The following is an 18,522-nucleotide window of genomic DNA, read 5'->3' as shown; positions in this document are numbered from 1 at the left end:
CCGTATCCTGATAGTAAACCAAAATGAATGAAAGTGGTATGAAAAATTTAATGTTCCTGGATTAAAAGGCAGAGTGATTGATAGTGACACAAGGTAGAAACAGCTCGAGAGGACCTGGGTTCAAACTCAAGCTATGGTACTTGCTACCAGCTGGAGTTAGGCCAAGTTTACCTCATTGAATTCCATGTGCAGCATGGACACCCAGTATGATGAACATAACATCATCTCTTCACATATTTCAGAGTAATCAACTGTTTTACCTTTTCCTCTAGCTGATAAGTACAACAATGAGTTTCCTAGGTTGGCTTTCTAGGTTTCTCATTTTGCAAAGGGGATACTTTCTAGTTTCTTTCTAGTTTAGCAATATCCCTCTCAACTTTCCCTATTGTACAAAATTTGGAATATAAGACTTTAACGTATTCTGTTACTCTGCCATCAACTGTCAAACTTCTTTTAATAATCTGTTTTTCCTTCTTCTATTTTAAATAATATTAGGACCATACCAACTTTTATATTCATCTTAAACCGGCTGTGAAAATTTCTTCATGATGTTAAATAGCCTTTAAAAAATATGATTTATTGGTTACAGAAGTTACACTGTAACTTAACTATCACCCTATGATGGTTTTTAAAAATGTGCCACATTTTTTAAAAGGTGCCACGTTGTTATTTTTTGTTGAAAAAAACCAAAGCACATTTCTACTTCTGGCAATATGGTGGTTCAGATGTTCTTAGCCCTCTCACCATAACTAACTAAATCCTGAATACATTTTAATAAACATACCTTTTAGTGTATGATCAACCTTGATAGAAATCCCCAAGGAACAAACTTCTCTCCCCGCCGCACCTGAAAAAGGTACAGCACATTTGAATCAACTCCTCATGAGAACTTAAGAGCCGGGGCAGACCTAGAGGCAAAGAGTAACGTCAGCTCAGTGAATGAGAGTCTGTCTTGGGGGAACTTAAAATGCCTCCATTAAGCAGGAATCCTTAAAGGGTCCCTGTTAATGGAATAGAAAACATTCATCTGCCAGCAAAGGAAGGTTGCCAGGAAACATGACTGTCTTCACATACAGCTCCAGGAAGAAAACAATTATAATGACTATAGTGTTCAGTGAGGATTGGCAACCACACACCTGTCCTCATACAGGTCTGGAGTAAAAATTACAAAATCCAAAACCAAGAAATTGATTTACAGTGGTCCCAGGTTGGTGGTGTCTACCAGATATAAAAGCTTATTATTAAGCTATAGTAATTAAGGTTTCATCAGAAATTTAACATGACAGAGTGAAACTGTTGATAAATGGGGGAAATAATGACTTTAATTCTTGAACAATTGGTTAAGCAAATGAAAGGGGGAAAATGGCCTCTTACCTCTTATCATATACAGAAATAAAATCTGGATGAGTTAAGAACCTACATGTGAAAGGCAAAATCATAATACTTTTAGAAGAAAGTATCTTTTACTTTGAATCAAATAAGAATTTCTTAGAAAAAGCATTAATTATAAAATAATGATTAATCTGCATTAAAATGAATAAATTCCATTCAAAAGACATCATAGAGAACCTGAAAAATCAGAGATATTGACAACACATAAAATGGACAACAGAATACTATGGTTGGTAGGCAGCCTCCAAGATGGTCCCCAATGTTCTCTGCCTCCTGGTGCTCACACTCTGTGTTGTCCCTTCCTGCATTATACCAGGCTTTGTCTGTGCCACCAAGCACACAGGGCAGAAATGTTGCATCTGAGATAGGTTATGAGAAGACTGTAGCTTCTGTCTTGAGTCTTGGATCACTCAATCTGGGGAAAGCAAGATGCCACCTTGTGAGTATCCCTATGGAGAGGTCCATATAGCAAGGAACTGTAGCCTCTGGCCAACAGCCAGCAAGGAAAGGAACAGAGGCTTACCAGCAACCACATGGATAATCTTGGAAGTGGACTCTCCAGCCCCAGTCAAAGCCTTGAGGTGACTACAACCTCAGCCAGCAGTTGGACTGCTACCTCATGAGAAACCCTTAGCCAAAATCAGCCAGCTATGTTACACAGTAAGAGATAACTAACACAATTAGCATCCTTAATACACAAAGAGCTTCCATGAATAAATATAAAAAGACAATTGACCAAAAAAAAAAAGGATGAAGATAAAACAGGGTTTTTACAAGAAGGGGAAACATAGAAACACGAAGATGCACAACACCAATCATCAGGGCAACACGATTTAGGCCTACAATGAAATGCTCTTTTATATCCTTTAACTGACAAAAATTGAAGTCTGAATCCTAAGTGCTGGCCAGGATATGGAACATGAATAACCCTTATACGATGCTTGTAGGAGTGTAAAAATATTACAATAACTTTGGGAGGAAAATGTGGCATTATATTTTAAAAATGAAAATTAAGGAAGTCCTAGCCAGAGCAGTCAGGCAAGAGAAACAAATAAAAGGCACCCAACTGGGAAAAAGGGAAGTCATATTTTCTCTGTGCTGATGATACGATTCTATACCTAGAAAACCCTAAAGATTCCACCAAAAGACTCCCAGACCTCATAAATGACTTAAGCAAAGTCTCAGGATGCAAAATCAATGTACAACAATCAGAAACATTTCTACATACCAATAACATTCAAGCTGAGAACCAAATCCAGAATATAATCTCATTTACAATAGTCACCAAAAAAAAAAACCAAAACAAAACTAGGACTGCTGAAACACTGCTGAAAGAAATCATAGATGACATAAACAAATGGAAAATCAATCAGTGTTCATGGGTTGGAAGAATCAATATCATTAAAATGTCTATATTGCCCAAAGCAATATATAGATTCAACACTATTCCTATGAAATTACCAATGTCACTTTTCACAAAATTAGAAAAAACTATTCTAAAATTCATATGGAACGAAAAAAGAGTTGGAATAGCTAAGGCAATCCTAAGCAAAAAGAATAAAGTGGAAGGTATCACATTACCTGACTTCAAACTATACTACAAGGCTACAGTAACCAAACCAGCATGGTACTGGTACAAAAATAGACACAATAGACCAATGGAACAGAGTAGGGACCCCTGAAATAAAGCTGCTGCACACCTACAACTTATCTTCAACAAAGTCAACAAAATAAATAATAGGGAAAGGATACCCTATTCAATAAATGGTGCTGGGAAAACTAACCATATGCAGAAGAATGAAGCTGGACCCCTACTTATCACAATATACAAAAATTAAGATGAACTAAAGACTTAACTGAAAGACCTCAAACTATAAAAAGCCTAGAAGAAAACCTAGAAAATACTCTTCTAGATATTGGCCTAAGCAAAGAATTTATGACTAAGTCCTCTAAAGCAAATGCAACAAGAACAAAAGTTGACAACTAAGACCCAACTAAACCAAAGAGTTTCTGCATAGCAAAAGAAACTATCAACAGATTAAACGGACAATCTACAGAATGGGAGCAAATATTTGCACACTACACATCTGACCAAGGACTAATATCCAGAATCTATAAGGAACTTAAATCAGCAAGAAAATAACTACATTAAAAAGTGGGCAACGGACAAGAACAGACACTTCTCAGAAGACATACTAGCAGCCAACAAACATGAAAAAATTATATCATTAGTCATCAGAGAGATGCAAATCAAAACCACAATATCAGCTCACACCAGTCAGAATGGCTACTGAAAAGTAAAAAAAAAAAAAAACAAAAAACTAAAATTACACCATTTGACCCAGCAATTGCATTACTGGGTATATACCCAAAGGAAAAGAAATCATTCTACCAAAAACACATCTGCACTCGTGTATTTATCACAGCACTATTCACAACAGCAAAGACACAGAATCAACCCAGGTGCCCATTAATGGTTGACTGGATAAAGAAAATGTGGTGGCTAGGCATGGTGGCTCACGCCTGTAATCCCAGCACTTTGGGAGGCCAAGGCGGGTGGCCTGAGGTCAGGAGTTCGAAACCGGCCTGGCCAACATGGTGAAACCCTGTCTCTACTAAAAATACAAAAATTAGCCGGGTGTGGTGGCGGGCACCTGTAATCCCAGCTACTCAGGAGGTGGAGGCAGGAGAATCACTTGAACCCAGGAGGCGGAGGTTGCAGTGAGCAGAGATCATGCCATTGCACTCCAGCCTGGGCGACAAGAGCAAAACTCCATCTCAAAAAAAAAAAAAGAAAATGTGGTACATACACACCATGGAACACTACACAACCATGGAAAAGAATGAAATCATATTCTTTGCAGTAACATGGATGCAGCTGGAGGCCATTGCCATAAGCAAATTAATACAGAAACAGAAAACCAACTACTACTGCATGTCCTCACTTATAAGTGGGAGCAAAACATTGGGTAAACATGTACATAAAGATGGAAACAATAGACACTGGGGATCCCAAAAGCGGGGAGTGAGAGAGGGGAGAAAGGCTTGAAAAAATACCTATTGGTTACTATGTTCACTACTTGGGCAAAAGGATCATTAGAAGTCCAAAGCTCAGCAGCACACAATATATCCATGTAATAAGCCTGAACACGTGCCCCTTGAATCTAAAATTGTAATGAAAACTATAACCATAACCTAGCAATTCTACTCCTCGGTACAATTTTAGAGAAACTCTGAAATCAGTAAACATGTACATAGATACACATAAGCAGTATATTTTTACTAGCAAAACTAGTAGCCCAAATGTCCATCGACAAGAGGATGGATAATTTGTGTATACTTTTATAATGGAATACTATACACAATAAAATTATGCATAAACAAGGATAAATCTTAAAAATGATGAGTGAAAAAGTCTCAAGATACAATGGAATATTTAAAATATTTGATAACTGGGATATTACTAAATTCATAAATATATAAATCAGTGTACAAATCAACAAGATAATTCATTTTATTTAAACTACATAAAACTTTATCAAGTGATATAAGTAGCACAAACCATTTATAAATCACTAATAATTTTCAAGTTGTTTGTTTAAACAAATGGGTTGGTATAATCTTTTGCTTGATATGGCTGTCACCAGGGAAATGATGCCCCTGTGATTTGACACAAGGAACTGCAAACTCTTCCAGTGACTTCCCCCATTCAACTGACCACTGTCATTAGTTTACTAACCACTGCCTGGCACCTGAAGAGAGGGAACAGGTAATGGATCGCCATCTCACCTCCTACCCTCATCAGACAGCACAGCACCATCTGGGTGCTGGCTATATGCCAAGAGCCAGTGGCAGGAGCTCTCAGCCATAGAAGAGAATGGAGAAAAGGGAGAAAGACGGAGTAAGATGGTTGGGGATTGCTCATCTTGGTTTGCCAGAATTGGAAGCTTGTAGTTTGTCTGTCTCACTCCACACTCAAGACAGTGCTTCCACTGTGCCCACCTGGTAATATTCTACTTGTTAAACTGGGTGATATATTTATCTTATAATGGTTCATAACATACATATACATATTATCCACAAGAAACTCCTCAGGATGGAGATTCTGGGTTTACCAAATCAGTTCGTCAAATGCTCCCATATCCCTAATAGTGCTGTCACAACTCACAGAAAACAAGTGAGAAATCTTGTCAAACTGAAATTGTGTTGAAAGCAAGACACTAATTATGTCTTAGAATTACCCCCATTTGTATCAAAAGAAATGAGGCTATTTTGACATGGCTTATTCTTAGGAACCTCAGTCAGTTGCCCAATACACTGTCCCCTAAAAGCTAACATCATCTAATACTTTCAAGGGTTGTTGTCCAACTTCTCAGAATTTACTCTTCAAAATGTGTGTTTGCCAATTCCCCAATCTTTTGGTGCATCTTATGTTTTCTGTAGTTTCCCTAATTCCTGACAGTGACTATACTCAGGAATACATTGATCCTAGGTATATAAGCTCATTGAAATAGGTTGTTTCTTAAGCTTTTTTTTTTTTTTTTTTTTACTTAAGCTAATACAAGTTGAGTATCCCAAATTCAAAACTCCAAAATCTGAAACTTTTTGAGCAATGACATGATGCTCAAAGGAAATGCTGACTGGAGAATTTTGGATTTGGGGATTAAGGATGCTCAACTGTTAAGTATGTAATGCAAATATCTAAAAAAAAAAAAATCGGAAATATTTCTGGTCCCCAGCATTTCAGATAAGGAATACTTAACCTGTACATTCTTCAAAATAAAACCCTTTTCAATGAGACTAGAGAGACTTTTCATTTGTTGTTATCAAGGACGTTATCTTCCCCTCGCAAATAGGAAGTGATTTCACTGATCTTAGTTTTGATAATAAAAGCTTTCTTCATTGTTTTGAGCTCTCCACCCCAAACCTCTGTCCATCTGAAGCTTTAACAATTGACACTATTTTCCTGCTATTTTCATTGTTTTGTGTGTTCCTACTTCCAAACTTGGCATTGATCCCTAAATTTTCATCTCAACAATCGTAACCTCTCATTGTTCAGCATCTACCCTGAATTTTATTCCCTTTTCTGAGTTTCTAAAAGTTTGCAGTCATAGTTTCACATTTGCATTTTTTAAAAGGTGAATCTTCTGAAATTAGACTTCCTGAAGTTACAGATAATGTGTCACTAATTATGGCAAATGTTCTTTCCATGCTTTGAAATGCCAGGAAGACTTGGGTGTTGTAACTGATTAGGAATCAAGCCGGAGCACAGGAAATGCTGTCCAGCGTGTAGTGGCTAGATTGGGCTATGAGGTACAGGGACAGTTCGTATGGTTGCAGTGGACAGATGGTGTAAAAGGAAAGTCTATGCAACACAGCTACTGGAGAAGAAAGATAAATCCAAATTATTGCATGCAATTTAAATTCACTCTAAAGAGACAGCAAACTTTTTTTTTCCTTTAGGAAAGCTTAGAGAAACCAAAATTAGAATACAATTTCCAAAACTGCTTTGCAAAAAACAAAAAAAACTTGTCCCACTTATGGAATTTGTCATCTACTCTGTATTATCTGAGACTTGGCACATTCAAGAACAAAATCATCACATCTCTGATTCACATAGCAATGAAAGATCACACACTAAACACCTTAACAGGCCATGAAAAGATTGTTTTATTCCATGTAAATATTCTCAACAGAGAACACTATCTTTAAATGAAGGATTTACCATTAAGAAATCAACATGTGCACAAAAAGAGTAAAAATTACCAAAAAATTAAAGATTTTTTGGGACAATTCACATGTTCAAAATTTAAGAATGATTTAAACTGTGCAAGTACAAATGTCTTTCCTATTATAATAACCCATATACAGGTTGCACTATTCCACATCAAGGAACTTGCCTCCTACGGAAGCAAATCCTGCTTTTAGAAAAACAAACAGTAGCTTGAAAAGAACAGTTAGTCCTTACAAGAAAGTCTTAAACTTTGCCCTCTGTGGCTGTTAGCCAAAAAACCATAAGCACTTCAGGCTTTGTACAGAAGACAAACACAGCCAGATCACATTTCCTCCTCATTGCTAACCTTTAAAATAAAAATAGCACTAGATTTTAAAACTACTTCATGTAGTCTGTCAGTACTGAATAATGTCACATTATATAAATAACCCTGTAACGAGATTCAATATCTAAACTTTATAGTTTACTAGCTGCAAAGGTAATACACTATATGTCAGCTGTGTAACAGTGGTGACTTGATCTTATGAAGGCAGTAACTTTCACACAATTGTCATTCAGCTTTAGTATAACGGGTAGTATGATTCAAATAACACTGGGAAAAAGTTATTAAAGCAGTCACACAGCTTCTAAAATATTGCTTAAAATTCAATAATACACAAACCATTTCACGTTCTTTCTCCCCTCAAAACAGTAAAGAACCAAATTAATGAAGATTCAGTGGTACAAATAACCCCCCACCTGCCCCATCTCCCTATTACAACACCACTAAGAAATTAGTTAAGATACATGTCATTAACAGAATCACAAATGCGAGGCAGGACACCATGAGCAACAGGAGCACTAACAACAATCATATTTACAAGTATAAACATACAGAAATTCCATTTTACAAGTAAAAGTGCACATAGATCATTACAAAGTTTCACTAAATTTTATCAGGTTCAAACAAAAGCATCACGTGGAAAGAGACTATCATTGTAATTATCAAACATGATCGTCATAACCCAAAATAAAAAGACAATTGGGGGAGGCCCATAAAACTTCTCATAAAACCACTGAGGAAATTAAAATGGACTTGGACATGTCTTTAGTTTGATGCATAAATTTGAAGATGCACCACTGTATATGGTAGAGCTCTAATAGCCACCTACCGAGGCTACATCGGCAGCTGCAGCGGTGCTGCAGAGTTAAAGCAGGTCGCACTGAGCTGACACATAAAGCCCTTTGTGGGATACTGTAGTGGTAGTGTTGGCAATCAACAGATTTAGGCACTCAAGTTTAAGGCAGCATTTGAATGGAAGCAGCTGACTTTTGACAATAGTCCTTTGTCTTGAGGTGGTGAATATCTTCTGTGTTTATTATGCCAGGATTTCAGTGCTGACTAGATTCTTCCCAGACTGAGGTGCTGAAGATGTATCACGTTTCAAAGAGTTCTTTCAACTGGGCTGTAGGCTACAGCAGAGATGTTTTCTTTTTCTTATCATAAATACTTCAGGTTCACAGCTACTTCTTCGTAATGCCAAAACTGGAATGTTTGCAGTGGGGAAGTTATAGCAGTGTGCACAAATACTAAGATGGAAACATTAGTGCTGGAGATGTTTGACAAAGTGATTTGCACTACAAATGTAAAACAAAACAAGGCTTTGACAAGAACAAGGGAATCTAAAGACATGCCTGAAAAATCTAGCTCAATCACGCTAGACATGCAACAGGATGTTAAGCAAGCACGGAGGTGGCGCAGGCAGACACTGACAGATGGCAAGGATCTGACAGATAGTGGGTCTAAAAGCCAATTAAAACAGAGCTGGGAGGGAAGACAATCCTGTTGGGACAGCTAATGTAAGACACATTTTTTGACAGCTCTGCATTCTTTATTGATTAGACAGCAATAAAATAAATAGAAAAATGGTACACTATTGTTGGCTTTTTCTTTTGTGGGAATAACTGTGAACTAGGAACTTAAGGGTTGGTATTATGATTTTTAAAAACAATGTATGGAAATGCTAATGAAGTTAGTAAAAAAAAAATCATGTCTGCATGCACTCATGCAACTTGCTTCTCTCACTCTCTTTGAGCCTGACAACTCTAATACCCTCCCCCAAAAGCAGCTGCATGTAACCTCCTTCAACATCTTGCCCATTTCCTCAGAAACCCTCTTCAGGAACCTGCAGTCCAGGAGGAAAAAGAAAAGAACAATTACTGAAGACCTTTGGTAAAACCAAAAGGGGTGTTCAGTTTAAAGTGCCTGTCCCAAATGTCTCTATCATTTTATAGTCAGCTACCGAAAACACCAGGAAAATTTAAAACATGGGCAAAATTAAAAACCAATCTTACTGCTTCTTCACACTTTACTTCCCCACACCACTGACTCAGGGTGTGGTCACACAACCAGCACTGCACAATCCTTGACTGCACAGTGTTTCCAACAACGCTTGCTGAAACTAATTGGAAAAATTTATCTATCCTAATAACTAATGATTCAGCGGAAATAACAAAATGCCCTAAAGGCGGTACACATATCTTCCTCTAACCCAGATAGTCAAAAAGTTTCTCCTTTAAAAATTAAAATTTGTCAACACTTCCCCTCCATTCAAGGTTTCCTCTATCTTCAAATGTGTATTTTTCTATGTAACTGTGTATTTTCCTATGTGTAACTGCTAAATGCTAAATAATCACTAAAGTGGTATTTCCCAAAAGATATTTTCAAGATGAAACATACAAAAGTATGAGATTAGTTTGGAAGGAAGCTTGTAAATTATTGAAAATTACCAGCTAACCTCAAAATATTTTGAGGTCTCAAACAAAATCTATTTTATTCACCTAAGAGCTAGACCAGGAGATTTATTTTGAAACTCTCTTTAAATCTACTTAAATAGATTATGTGCTACCTGCTCATTTTCTTCCTTTAGGAAACCAAAGTTAAGAATAGGTAAGAAAATGAAAATGATGTTATTATTTTACTAAATTATCCAACTACTATTTTTCTTCTTGGAAACTGTAGCTACAAATTCAAACTTCTAGAAGAAACCACTCTTTGGGGAGTCGGCTTTCCATAGCATTTCAGAGCAGTTTCACTATTCAAATTCACTAAAGTCACTGTGTTTTCTGAAGTAAAGGGGGCAGAGAGCATTACTATCCATGAATTCCTGCCCAATAAATCAAATTCTATTTGTAAGGCAGAAAAACACAAATCCTTCACACAGACTTAAGCGGGACATAAAGCAAAAGGCATCAATTAAGCTTCACACCAACGTTACTCAAACAGTAAAGTGCCACAAAATGTTTCTTGTGGTAATATTCACAAGATCAAGCCTACACTCAGCTCACATAGTGAACAATTAATCTTGGATGCCCTTTAAGTTTCCTTATTTTTTTCAACCTGTTGAATGTGTTTTCATTTTATGTTACTCTTCCTATGTCACACATGGCACAAAGGTGCCTGGTTAGTTTAGATATAAGTTACTGCACCTTTACTGTTTTTCTCTAGAGTTACATCTATGTATGACGTGGGAACGTAGCCTTCTTCACCGTTCTGTCTCCGAGCTCTTGTCCATCCGTCACCTTTGTCCTCCTCTATAATGTAGAGAACTTCACCTTCTTTCATTGCTAGAGTACCTTCATTATGTCCTAGATGAGAGTTTTCACAAGCATAATTTAAGCATTGTGATAATTTTTTTTAAAGTTACTAATACAATGCACAAAATACAATGAAACCCTACTAGATTTCAATGTACCTGGAACTACTGACTCTCACTAGCAACATCTCTATTGTGCTTTGTGGCTTACCCAGCACTTTCATATACATTCTCTCATTTGAGCTGCATAATAAGCCCGCAGGGCTGGATAACATCACCCCCATGTAACGGATGAAGTTAACTGAGTCACAGTGACATTACATGATTTGACAGGGTATTCTAATTCCTATGTCACTATTCCAACTCTTTTCCCAAATTTTAGTAGTCTATCTAAAAAAATTCAGCAGGTATGGATTAGGAAAACAGTAACCAGATAGCAAAAGAGCAGGAAGAAAGAAGGAAAAAAGAGAGTCTGAAGGGAGAACAGAGAAAAATACGGGTTTGACTCTAGAGATGGTAGAAACAGAATGGCCATACACAACTCTTTCACTCTCTATCCCCAACCACGCCCAACCTGCTTAGCAGTAACAATTTTCACAACTGAATCTTCATTTAACACGTGCCAAATTGCTTCCCTACTCTCTAGATTACATTATAGCAAGTTTGTTTTCTTTTGTTTTGTTTTAGAGATAGGGTCTTACTGCCCAGGTTGGATTCGAACTCCTGGGCTCAAGCAATCCTCTCACCGCAGCCTCCCAAGTGTCTGGGACTATAGGCACACATCACTGCACTTGGCTGCAAGGTCTTAAATTTAATATATTTTCTAATAAGAAGTAACTAGAGACTTTGCTCAATTTTAAACCAACACGAAGTGGGGAGAAAGACCTTAAATCAAGCACCATTTTACAACCGTTTATTTATGAAAGTGTCGCTCAGTTCTCCTGTTAGTTGAGGGAAAGTATTTTTCACAGTCCAGGATAAAGAGGAACTAAAAATCTGCAGGAGAAGGCCTCAGTGCCTTACTTCCCTTCCAGAGTTTGTTCTTCAACTTTCATAGAGTAAGAGATAACATAGTCAGTAGCTACTACATTCTCTCCCACTTTCATCTAAACAGGTGGCCTACGGACTCAGTATATGATGATGGCATTCAGCTAGCTATGCCTTGTACCTGTCTCTTAATGTTAGTAAGCTACAAGGAAGAGCATGAAGTGGCATCCGCCAGCATCCCGCTTCCTGGGTTGAGCTACATGTTCAAGCTGCCTCGACTTTGTTTAGGACATGTGCACAGTAAGGACTCTGGTGAAAATTCTGCACTGACCAAAATTGATAATTAATTAATAATCTGTATTAGGATGCTAGTAACGTGGGCAATTTCCTTTTAATTCCATGTACGGAAGAAAAATATCTACATTTGTAATACAGTTATAACAAAAGTATGCATACTAAAGAAATGGGATAATAATTTTCTGACAACATATATTACTTAAATAAGGATACTACAGTGAGTGACTTGATGTAAATACTTTTAAAGAACCAATTTTTTTACATACAATATTATTAAGAAAATCATACCATCAAAAGGGTAGATAGCTTTGCAGTGTCCAATAGCAGGCAAGGGATCATCATCCTCAAATTCATCATCAAACTCATTGTGGTGACCATGCTGCTGGGGTGGCCCACGGACTTCCTGGTTTGCATCATCAGTGTAACTTCCCTCAGGACTATAAAACAAAAAATTATCTCTGATCAAGTATCATAAACATGAGAATTCTATATATTATTTATAAATTGATCACCTCAGGATCAATTCCAAAAATTAAATATTAATGACACAGTTTCCACTTAAGCCCTATTTTTTTCAAATGTCAAGTATACAAATTACTTCTAATACAAAATGCTGCTTTGCTGAATTTCCTGAATTAAAAAAAAATTACAAGATTACAATATTCTAGGCACAAAGTATTATTCAGTAAATACACCTCACTATCACTCGGTCTAGACATAAAACAGAAAAACGTTCTAGACCCTTGTCTTCCATCATCCCAAATTTATCATCCTAAAATTCCTTAAGGGATCCATGCATATCCATGTTTAGTTCACACGCTTCAGGTGGATTGTTTCTATTCTGAATCTGGAGTGGCCCATCAGAGCAATCATCTATATAACCAGTTCACAAGAAGTCCTGTAACCTAATCAGATTTAAGAAATGCACAGAAACTTTTGCTTGGGACTCTTCGAAGAGAATTCACTCTGTCCCTTTTCTACTGGACTCGAAACCTGCAGGAATACTCGCCTAGAGCTTTGGAGCCTTAAAAGGAAGCCAACACAGTAGAAAGCACAGCTGTGAGGTGGAGAGAAATTGAGTCCTAGGGATAACATCTGAGCTCCTAGATCAAGCTCTCCCTGAAGTCAGCCAATGAAGTCCATTTTTAGTTTAAGCCAGCATGGGTAAAGTATTCATTCTGTCACTGAAAATTAAAAGATTCTCAACTAAAATAAAAAGTAAAGTAAATTTCCAACTAATCATGGTAACAGGGAAGTTGGTAACTTAAAAAAATCCAAAAAAGCAGGTAATACAAACACAATTTATTTTTCTTAAAATTTTTTAAATCAGAGAAAAATGTTAATAATTTTGCTGAAGAATCAAATGACTGAATTAGATTTAATAATGGAAAATTTTACAGAATTAGATTTTAACAGTACTTTCAGTAAGCCTGGAAGCCAGAGAAATAACACATGCCAAAGAAATTAGATCCTTTTAATCTGAGTTTTACCTAATAACAAAAACCAGTAATTTGTGGGTATCTCTTAACAGATTAAAGATATGTACTCTTTCAAGAAGTGATACTACTATTACCACTATTTACTACTAGGTGCTTTATGTGTATTATTTACTTTTTTACTAACAAACCTAAAGGGTGGATATTTTAACCTCCATTTTATATTTCAGGAAATTGAGACTTAGGGAGCATTAAAAATGAACTTGCTCAGATTACACTGTAATTAAGTAGAAAACTAAGAGTTGTTACTAGGCCTCTCACATTTTTCTCTAAGGTGAATCCTAATTTGTGGACTTTTAGTCTGGAAAAAAAGATATAATACATCAAGAAAGAAATGTCACAAGTGGTACAGAAACTTAGCAAAGTGTCTTTTGGAAGCTCTGGTCCAAACTAACAATACATTTTTTTTTCTTCACAAAACTCTGAGCTATTTGATAGTAAAATTTTTCTTTGGCATAAGCGACCCTAATTCCACTTGAACCTTAGGAAACCTTCCCATGCCCGAGGAGCCTAGGCCCTCAGACTGTAGCTCCAAGAATTTTCTATGTTCCTAGCTCTGTGTTTGGATGCATGACAAACTAGGATTGAATAGCAAGATGAACTTTCCTACTTCACCTGTAATTATCACTAAAGAAAATTACTTAGGTTCAAAAGACTGAGGTTACTAAAAGCTTAACTTGTTAAATTTGGAAGAAAAAAACGAATTGTATAAAGTTTAGGACAAAAGGGTGAGAAAACTCTGGGGAGAAGAAATACAAATAAAATACAAAAAATCACCTTTCTCGTCCCTGTGTTACAAGATGATTTATGTCACTGCTATGTCTTCTGTCTCCTCTCCCACCTGTTTTGCCTTCGACTTCAGAGAGCCAAGCCTTAGGAAAAAAAATAAGCAAACAACTGAGCTCAATAAATATGTTTAAAAGCTCATAAGATATCTACATTTAAAATGTGTTTAAGTTTTTATAATTATGTAATTCTTAGAGATGTGAAACCTTTATTCCAAACTGGTCAAAGGATCAACTTTATAGCTGATTCAAAAAAATAGTATAAATGTTTAATCTTATATAAAGGTCTAAATAAAAAACTTTAATGAGATTAAATAACACACATCACAATAATACTTTTAGATCATAAACCCTAACATTAAATATAAACATTTGAAGATAATTCTAACAAAAACCAATCTATCATAATGAAGTTTATAAAAATAATTTATCTTGACAAGTGCTGAATAACAAATCTACCTCATTCTTATGGATTTCCATTCGTAGGCGGTCAATGTTATTCATGGTCTCTGCTAATTTAGGCTGCAAACTCCCTGGATCCCCCATTTGTGGATTCTTCTCATATACATCTTTCATTTTGTTGAGTGCATCTCTAAAAAAGAGAAGGAACCCCAGAATTAAATATTAACTTCATATGCTTCCAGATAAAAGAGTTTTATTGGACTCTGGGGACTCGTACGCAGCTTAATCTTAAGTAGAGTCACATCTTTTTAAGTTTGTCTAACATGACCTGATTAAAGACAATTTGCATAAAGGTGATAACATATAGAGTTACTAATTTATGAAGACAATCAGAATACCAAAAGAGAACAGAGTTCATTTCTTACTTCCTGCTTTCTAAACAAGGAATTTTATTTATATGTACATATACACACACACACAAAATCAAGGGCTGGAAGAATATTCTTCAGCTCATCATGTCCCAAATCAAACTCATTATATTCCAACTCAGCCACACTATTCCACAGTGTTCCTTAGCTCATACATCATCATTGTCCTCCCACTCACCTCTGCTAGAAATAGGAATGGCAGCTTTAACTTGCCCCCACCCAAAGTCAGTCATTTGCCAATTCCTCTCAACCTACCTCCTATTCTCTAATCATATTACAATCGGTTGTGCCTCAATTAGCTGTCCTTGACTCTAACATCTGACACTATTGACTAACACTCCTTAATACTCTTTTCCTTCATGACTTCCTATAGGTTACATTTTCTTTTCCCTCCTCCTCACCTCTGCTTTCTCACAATCTCCCTCACTGCCTTCTTTCTCCTTCTTTGTTCAACCTTTAAATGTGTATTACATAAAATGACAAAGGTTTCTTCTCGTCTCTTCCTACAGTCTTGTTGGAGGATGATCTCTTAATTGTTTTAATATCATCCATCTTCAGATGATTTTCAAATGCATATCTCCAGACCTCTCTCTCCTGAATTCTAGATTCATATCTTTAAACCCAACTGGACACTTCTAATATGGATTTTTCACATTTCAAAAATCAACATAAACAAAATCTTTATCTTTGCCCTAAACTTTTTTCTTATTGTTGCAATTAAATCTATAGCTACAAATCTTTTTTTTTTTTTTAAGCTTCCTCCATGTTTTCTCTTCTCCAGCATCCAATCAGGTGAAAGTACAACCTACTTTGGCTTTGAAATGATTCTTTTATCTATTCCTCCTTTCTATTCCCATGGTCATGCCTTAATTTAGGCCCTCAGTATCTCTCACCTGGATTGTTAAAGGCTTCTACCTCCAATCTCTTTCCTATACTATTTACTCTTCATACAGTTTTCAATTATCTTTTATCACACAGAGCTAATAATGTTACCCCTTCTCTCAATAACTGGGGACTGTAGTACCTACAGAACTTCACAGAAAAGCATTCAGAATTTTTCACAAGTCCTATACTTCTTCATCCTCAACTTCTATTATTATGTTCCACATAATTTTTAACCAAGTCTCTCTGGATTAGCACTAATTCCAGTCCATGGCAAGAACATTCACATTTCTGTGCCTTTACTCTTGTTTTGGACATGGAGATATCTGGGAAAATTTGAGTCACCAGAGGTACATTCAAGTTCTAAACTGTGGTCAAACCAGTGACACTCTGGCCTTCTTGCTCGTATTCTCATATTCTGGACATGTATCCTTTTTGCAATCTACTCATTTAGTGCAATGTTTCTCATATTTTTATGCTTTTTGTTGATATTGGTGTTTAAAATAGCCCCTAAGCATGGCAATCAAGTGCTGTCTAGTGTTCTGAAGCACAAGAAGGCTGTACCTTACAGAGAAAATTCTAATCTTAGATAAGCTTTGTTCAAGCATGAGTTACAGTGCTATTAGAAAAAAATCAAAGTTAATAAATCAACATCATATATGAAATAAGGTGTTTTTACACAGAAACACAAATAAAAAAAGGTTATGTGCCAATCAGCTGACTGAAACATTGTGACCAGTGGCTACCTAGAACCTAACCCTGTATCTCCCTAAGAGCAATGTTTCAGTATTCCATAATTTAGTGTTCACAGTGACTTTACAGAACACAGCTACTGTGAATGAGAATCAAAGGTAGTGCAAATATTTCATTATGATTAAGCGCCACATCACACCTGATACACTAATTCTTAGCATCAAAACTTCAATCTCTCATGCTACAATTTAAGCCCCAATTTTATCGTAAGTGAAGACATAGCAAGTCACCAATTCATTGTAATAACACTTTAATGATCGTGAATAATTCTTCTATGTCTATTTTTAAAAAATTAAACTAGAGGAAACGTCTTATAAAAATGAAATAAAAAAGTAAACTTATGTGTGAACAAATATGAAGCCGTCAGTAATCAAGCACCGTTTGCCAAATGTTTTGCTACAAAATAGCCTCAGGTTGCTAATGAAATCAATTTATATATAAAAGCAAAATGAAAATATATCAAAGTATAAGAGGTAGTGCTGATGAAACTACTCTTGATAATAAAATATCAAGAAATTTTTTGCAAATTAATGAAGGCATATTAGCATTCAATAAAAATCTGCAACCAAGGAAATTCTCTAACCTATGACAGGGTAACCATAAAAATTTCCAGGGTAGGAGTATAATTCTCTCTCAAAAGATATTTCAATTAGGATATATGATTTTTAAACCTTCTGTATATCACATTTAAGGGCGTCACTCAAAGTAGATCCTAAAATAATAATGATAGAGAAAACTTAAAGGAATAATACTTTTGGTCTGATTCTTTCTGTAGTTCTCTGTTAAGTTCATCAATGCGCTGCTGTAGTTTTTTACGTCTCTGTTCTGGTGGCAGATGACTGAAATCTTCTAGTGCTGGGCCCTGAAAAGAGAATCTAAATCATTATAATAGACATTTTCGGGAAATTTTATTTTTAAAATATACCTGCTATAAAATAAGAATACATACCAATCTTAAGTTTAATTTCAAATTTGCCTCAAGCAACCCCTTAAAAAAAAAAGAAATCTACACAGATGTGTGTGTTTATGCGTATATGTTAATGAAAACAATGTACTGAAGAAAAGAGCTCAAATTTCAGTCATTTTATAAAACCATGAAACAGAATAAGTAAAATCATACCCAGATACAGATAACTGGTAGGTAGTATCACATTACTTTCAAATCTTGGCAGAGTTATAATGAATACATGTAAACCTTCTTACAGCAACAACAACAAAATGGAAACACGTAACATTCTTGTCTATACAGGGTATTGTTTTATATATAACATATCACAACATTTCCAAATAAAACCCATTGCCATGACATTCAGAATGTTACAAATGTTCAAACTGAAAATATGAATATAATTAAGAAACTTACCTCACAAAGACAATCTAATGAAATATACTTTAACACTACATATAGTCTTTGAACAACTGATTAAACCATTCAAAACATACCTGGTCATTAAAAACCAAAGATAGAACTATCCACTGAGCAGAAATTATATTCAAACAAGTGTATATTTTCAATTAACCTTTTGTAAACCAAATAACATACCTCAGTTGTTACTGAAAGAAGGATAAAATCCTTCTTTAGGAAAGATCCTTGATGTCTGAAAATTTTTTAAAGTTTTGATATTCAAAAAACTATGCAATTTAAGAAAAAGTACTAGTATTTAAACGTAAACATCTGATCCAAATGACACCTTTTCCCTTAAATGTTATTTTAATCACTGTTACTTATATTACAGATTACAACAGAACCAATATTAGCCGCTATTGAATCTATTTAATATAAACCTATAT

At 35.7% G+C, this 18,522-nt stretch overlaps 1 protein-coding gene across 3 annotated transcripts in view, besides 2 other annotated features; it reads right to left on the bottom strand.

The window, feature by feature from the left end:
• Window positions 1-7,038: 7,038 nt before the first annotated feature.
• FNBP1L (formin binding protein 1 like) overlaps window positions 7,039-18,522 on the bottom strand; it is a 106,544-nt gene continuing 95,060 nt past the window's right edge. For 2 of the 3 annotated variants that reach the window (NM_001164473.3, NM_017737.5), the window contains 6 exons: window positions 17,484-17,593; window positions 14,726-14,858; window positions 14,259-14,353; window positions 12,274-12,422; window positions 10,595-10,753; window positions 7,039-9,291 (listed from right to left, as the gene is read on the bottom strand). In NM_001164473.3, coding sequence (NP_001157945.1) covers window positions 9,284-9,291; window positions 10,595-10,753; window positions 12,274-12,422; window positions 14,259-14,353; window positions 14,726-14,858; window positions 17,484-17,593 — 654 coding nt within the window. In that variant the 3' untranslated portion in view covers window positions 7,039-9,283. Of the gene's footprint in view, window positions 10,754-12,273; window positions 12,423-14,258; window positions 14,354-14,725; window positions 14,859-17,483; window positions 17,594-18,522 lie in introns of all 3 variants that reach the window. The other variant, NM_001024948.3, reaches the window with a different exon arrangement.
• Window positions 8,158-8,686: an enhancer, noted in NCBI's record as "OCT4-NANOG hESC enhancer chr1:94018571-94019099 (GRCh37/hg19 assembly coordinates)". NCBI's record gives its function as "activates a minimal SCP1, AML or CMV promoter by ChIP-STARR-seq in naive H9 embryonic stem cells {active_cell/tissue: H9 hESC(naive)}" and the evidence as "EXISTENCE:reporter gene assay evidence [ECO:0000049][PMID:30033119]".
• Window positions 8,734-9,028: a silencer, noted in NCBI's record as "tiled region #13550; HepG2 Repressive non-DNase unmatched - State 6:EnhF". NCBI's record gives its function as "represses a minimal TATA promoter and a strong SV40 promoter by Sharpr-MPRA in HepG2 cells {active_cell/tissue: HepG2}" and the evidence as "EXISTENCE:reporter gene assay evidence [ECO:0000049][PMID:27701403]".

The sequence above is a fragment of the Homo sapiens genome, chromosome 1 (genome assembly GCF_000001405.40).
Source record: "Homo sapiens chromosome 1, GRCh38.p14 Primary Assembly".
NCBI lineage: Eukaryota > Metazoa > Chordata > Mammalia > Primates > Hominidae > Homo > Homo sapiens.
This window is presented reverse-complemented; position numbering and strand designations above follow the sequence as displayed.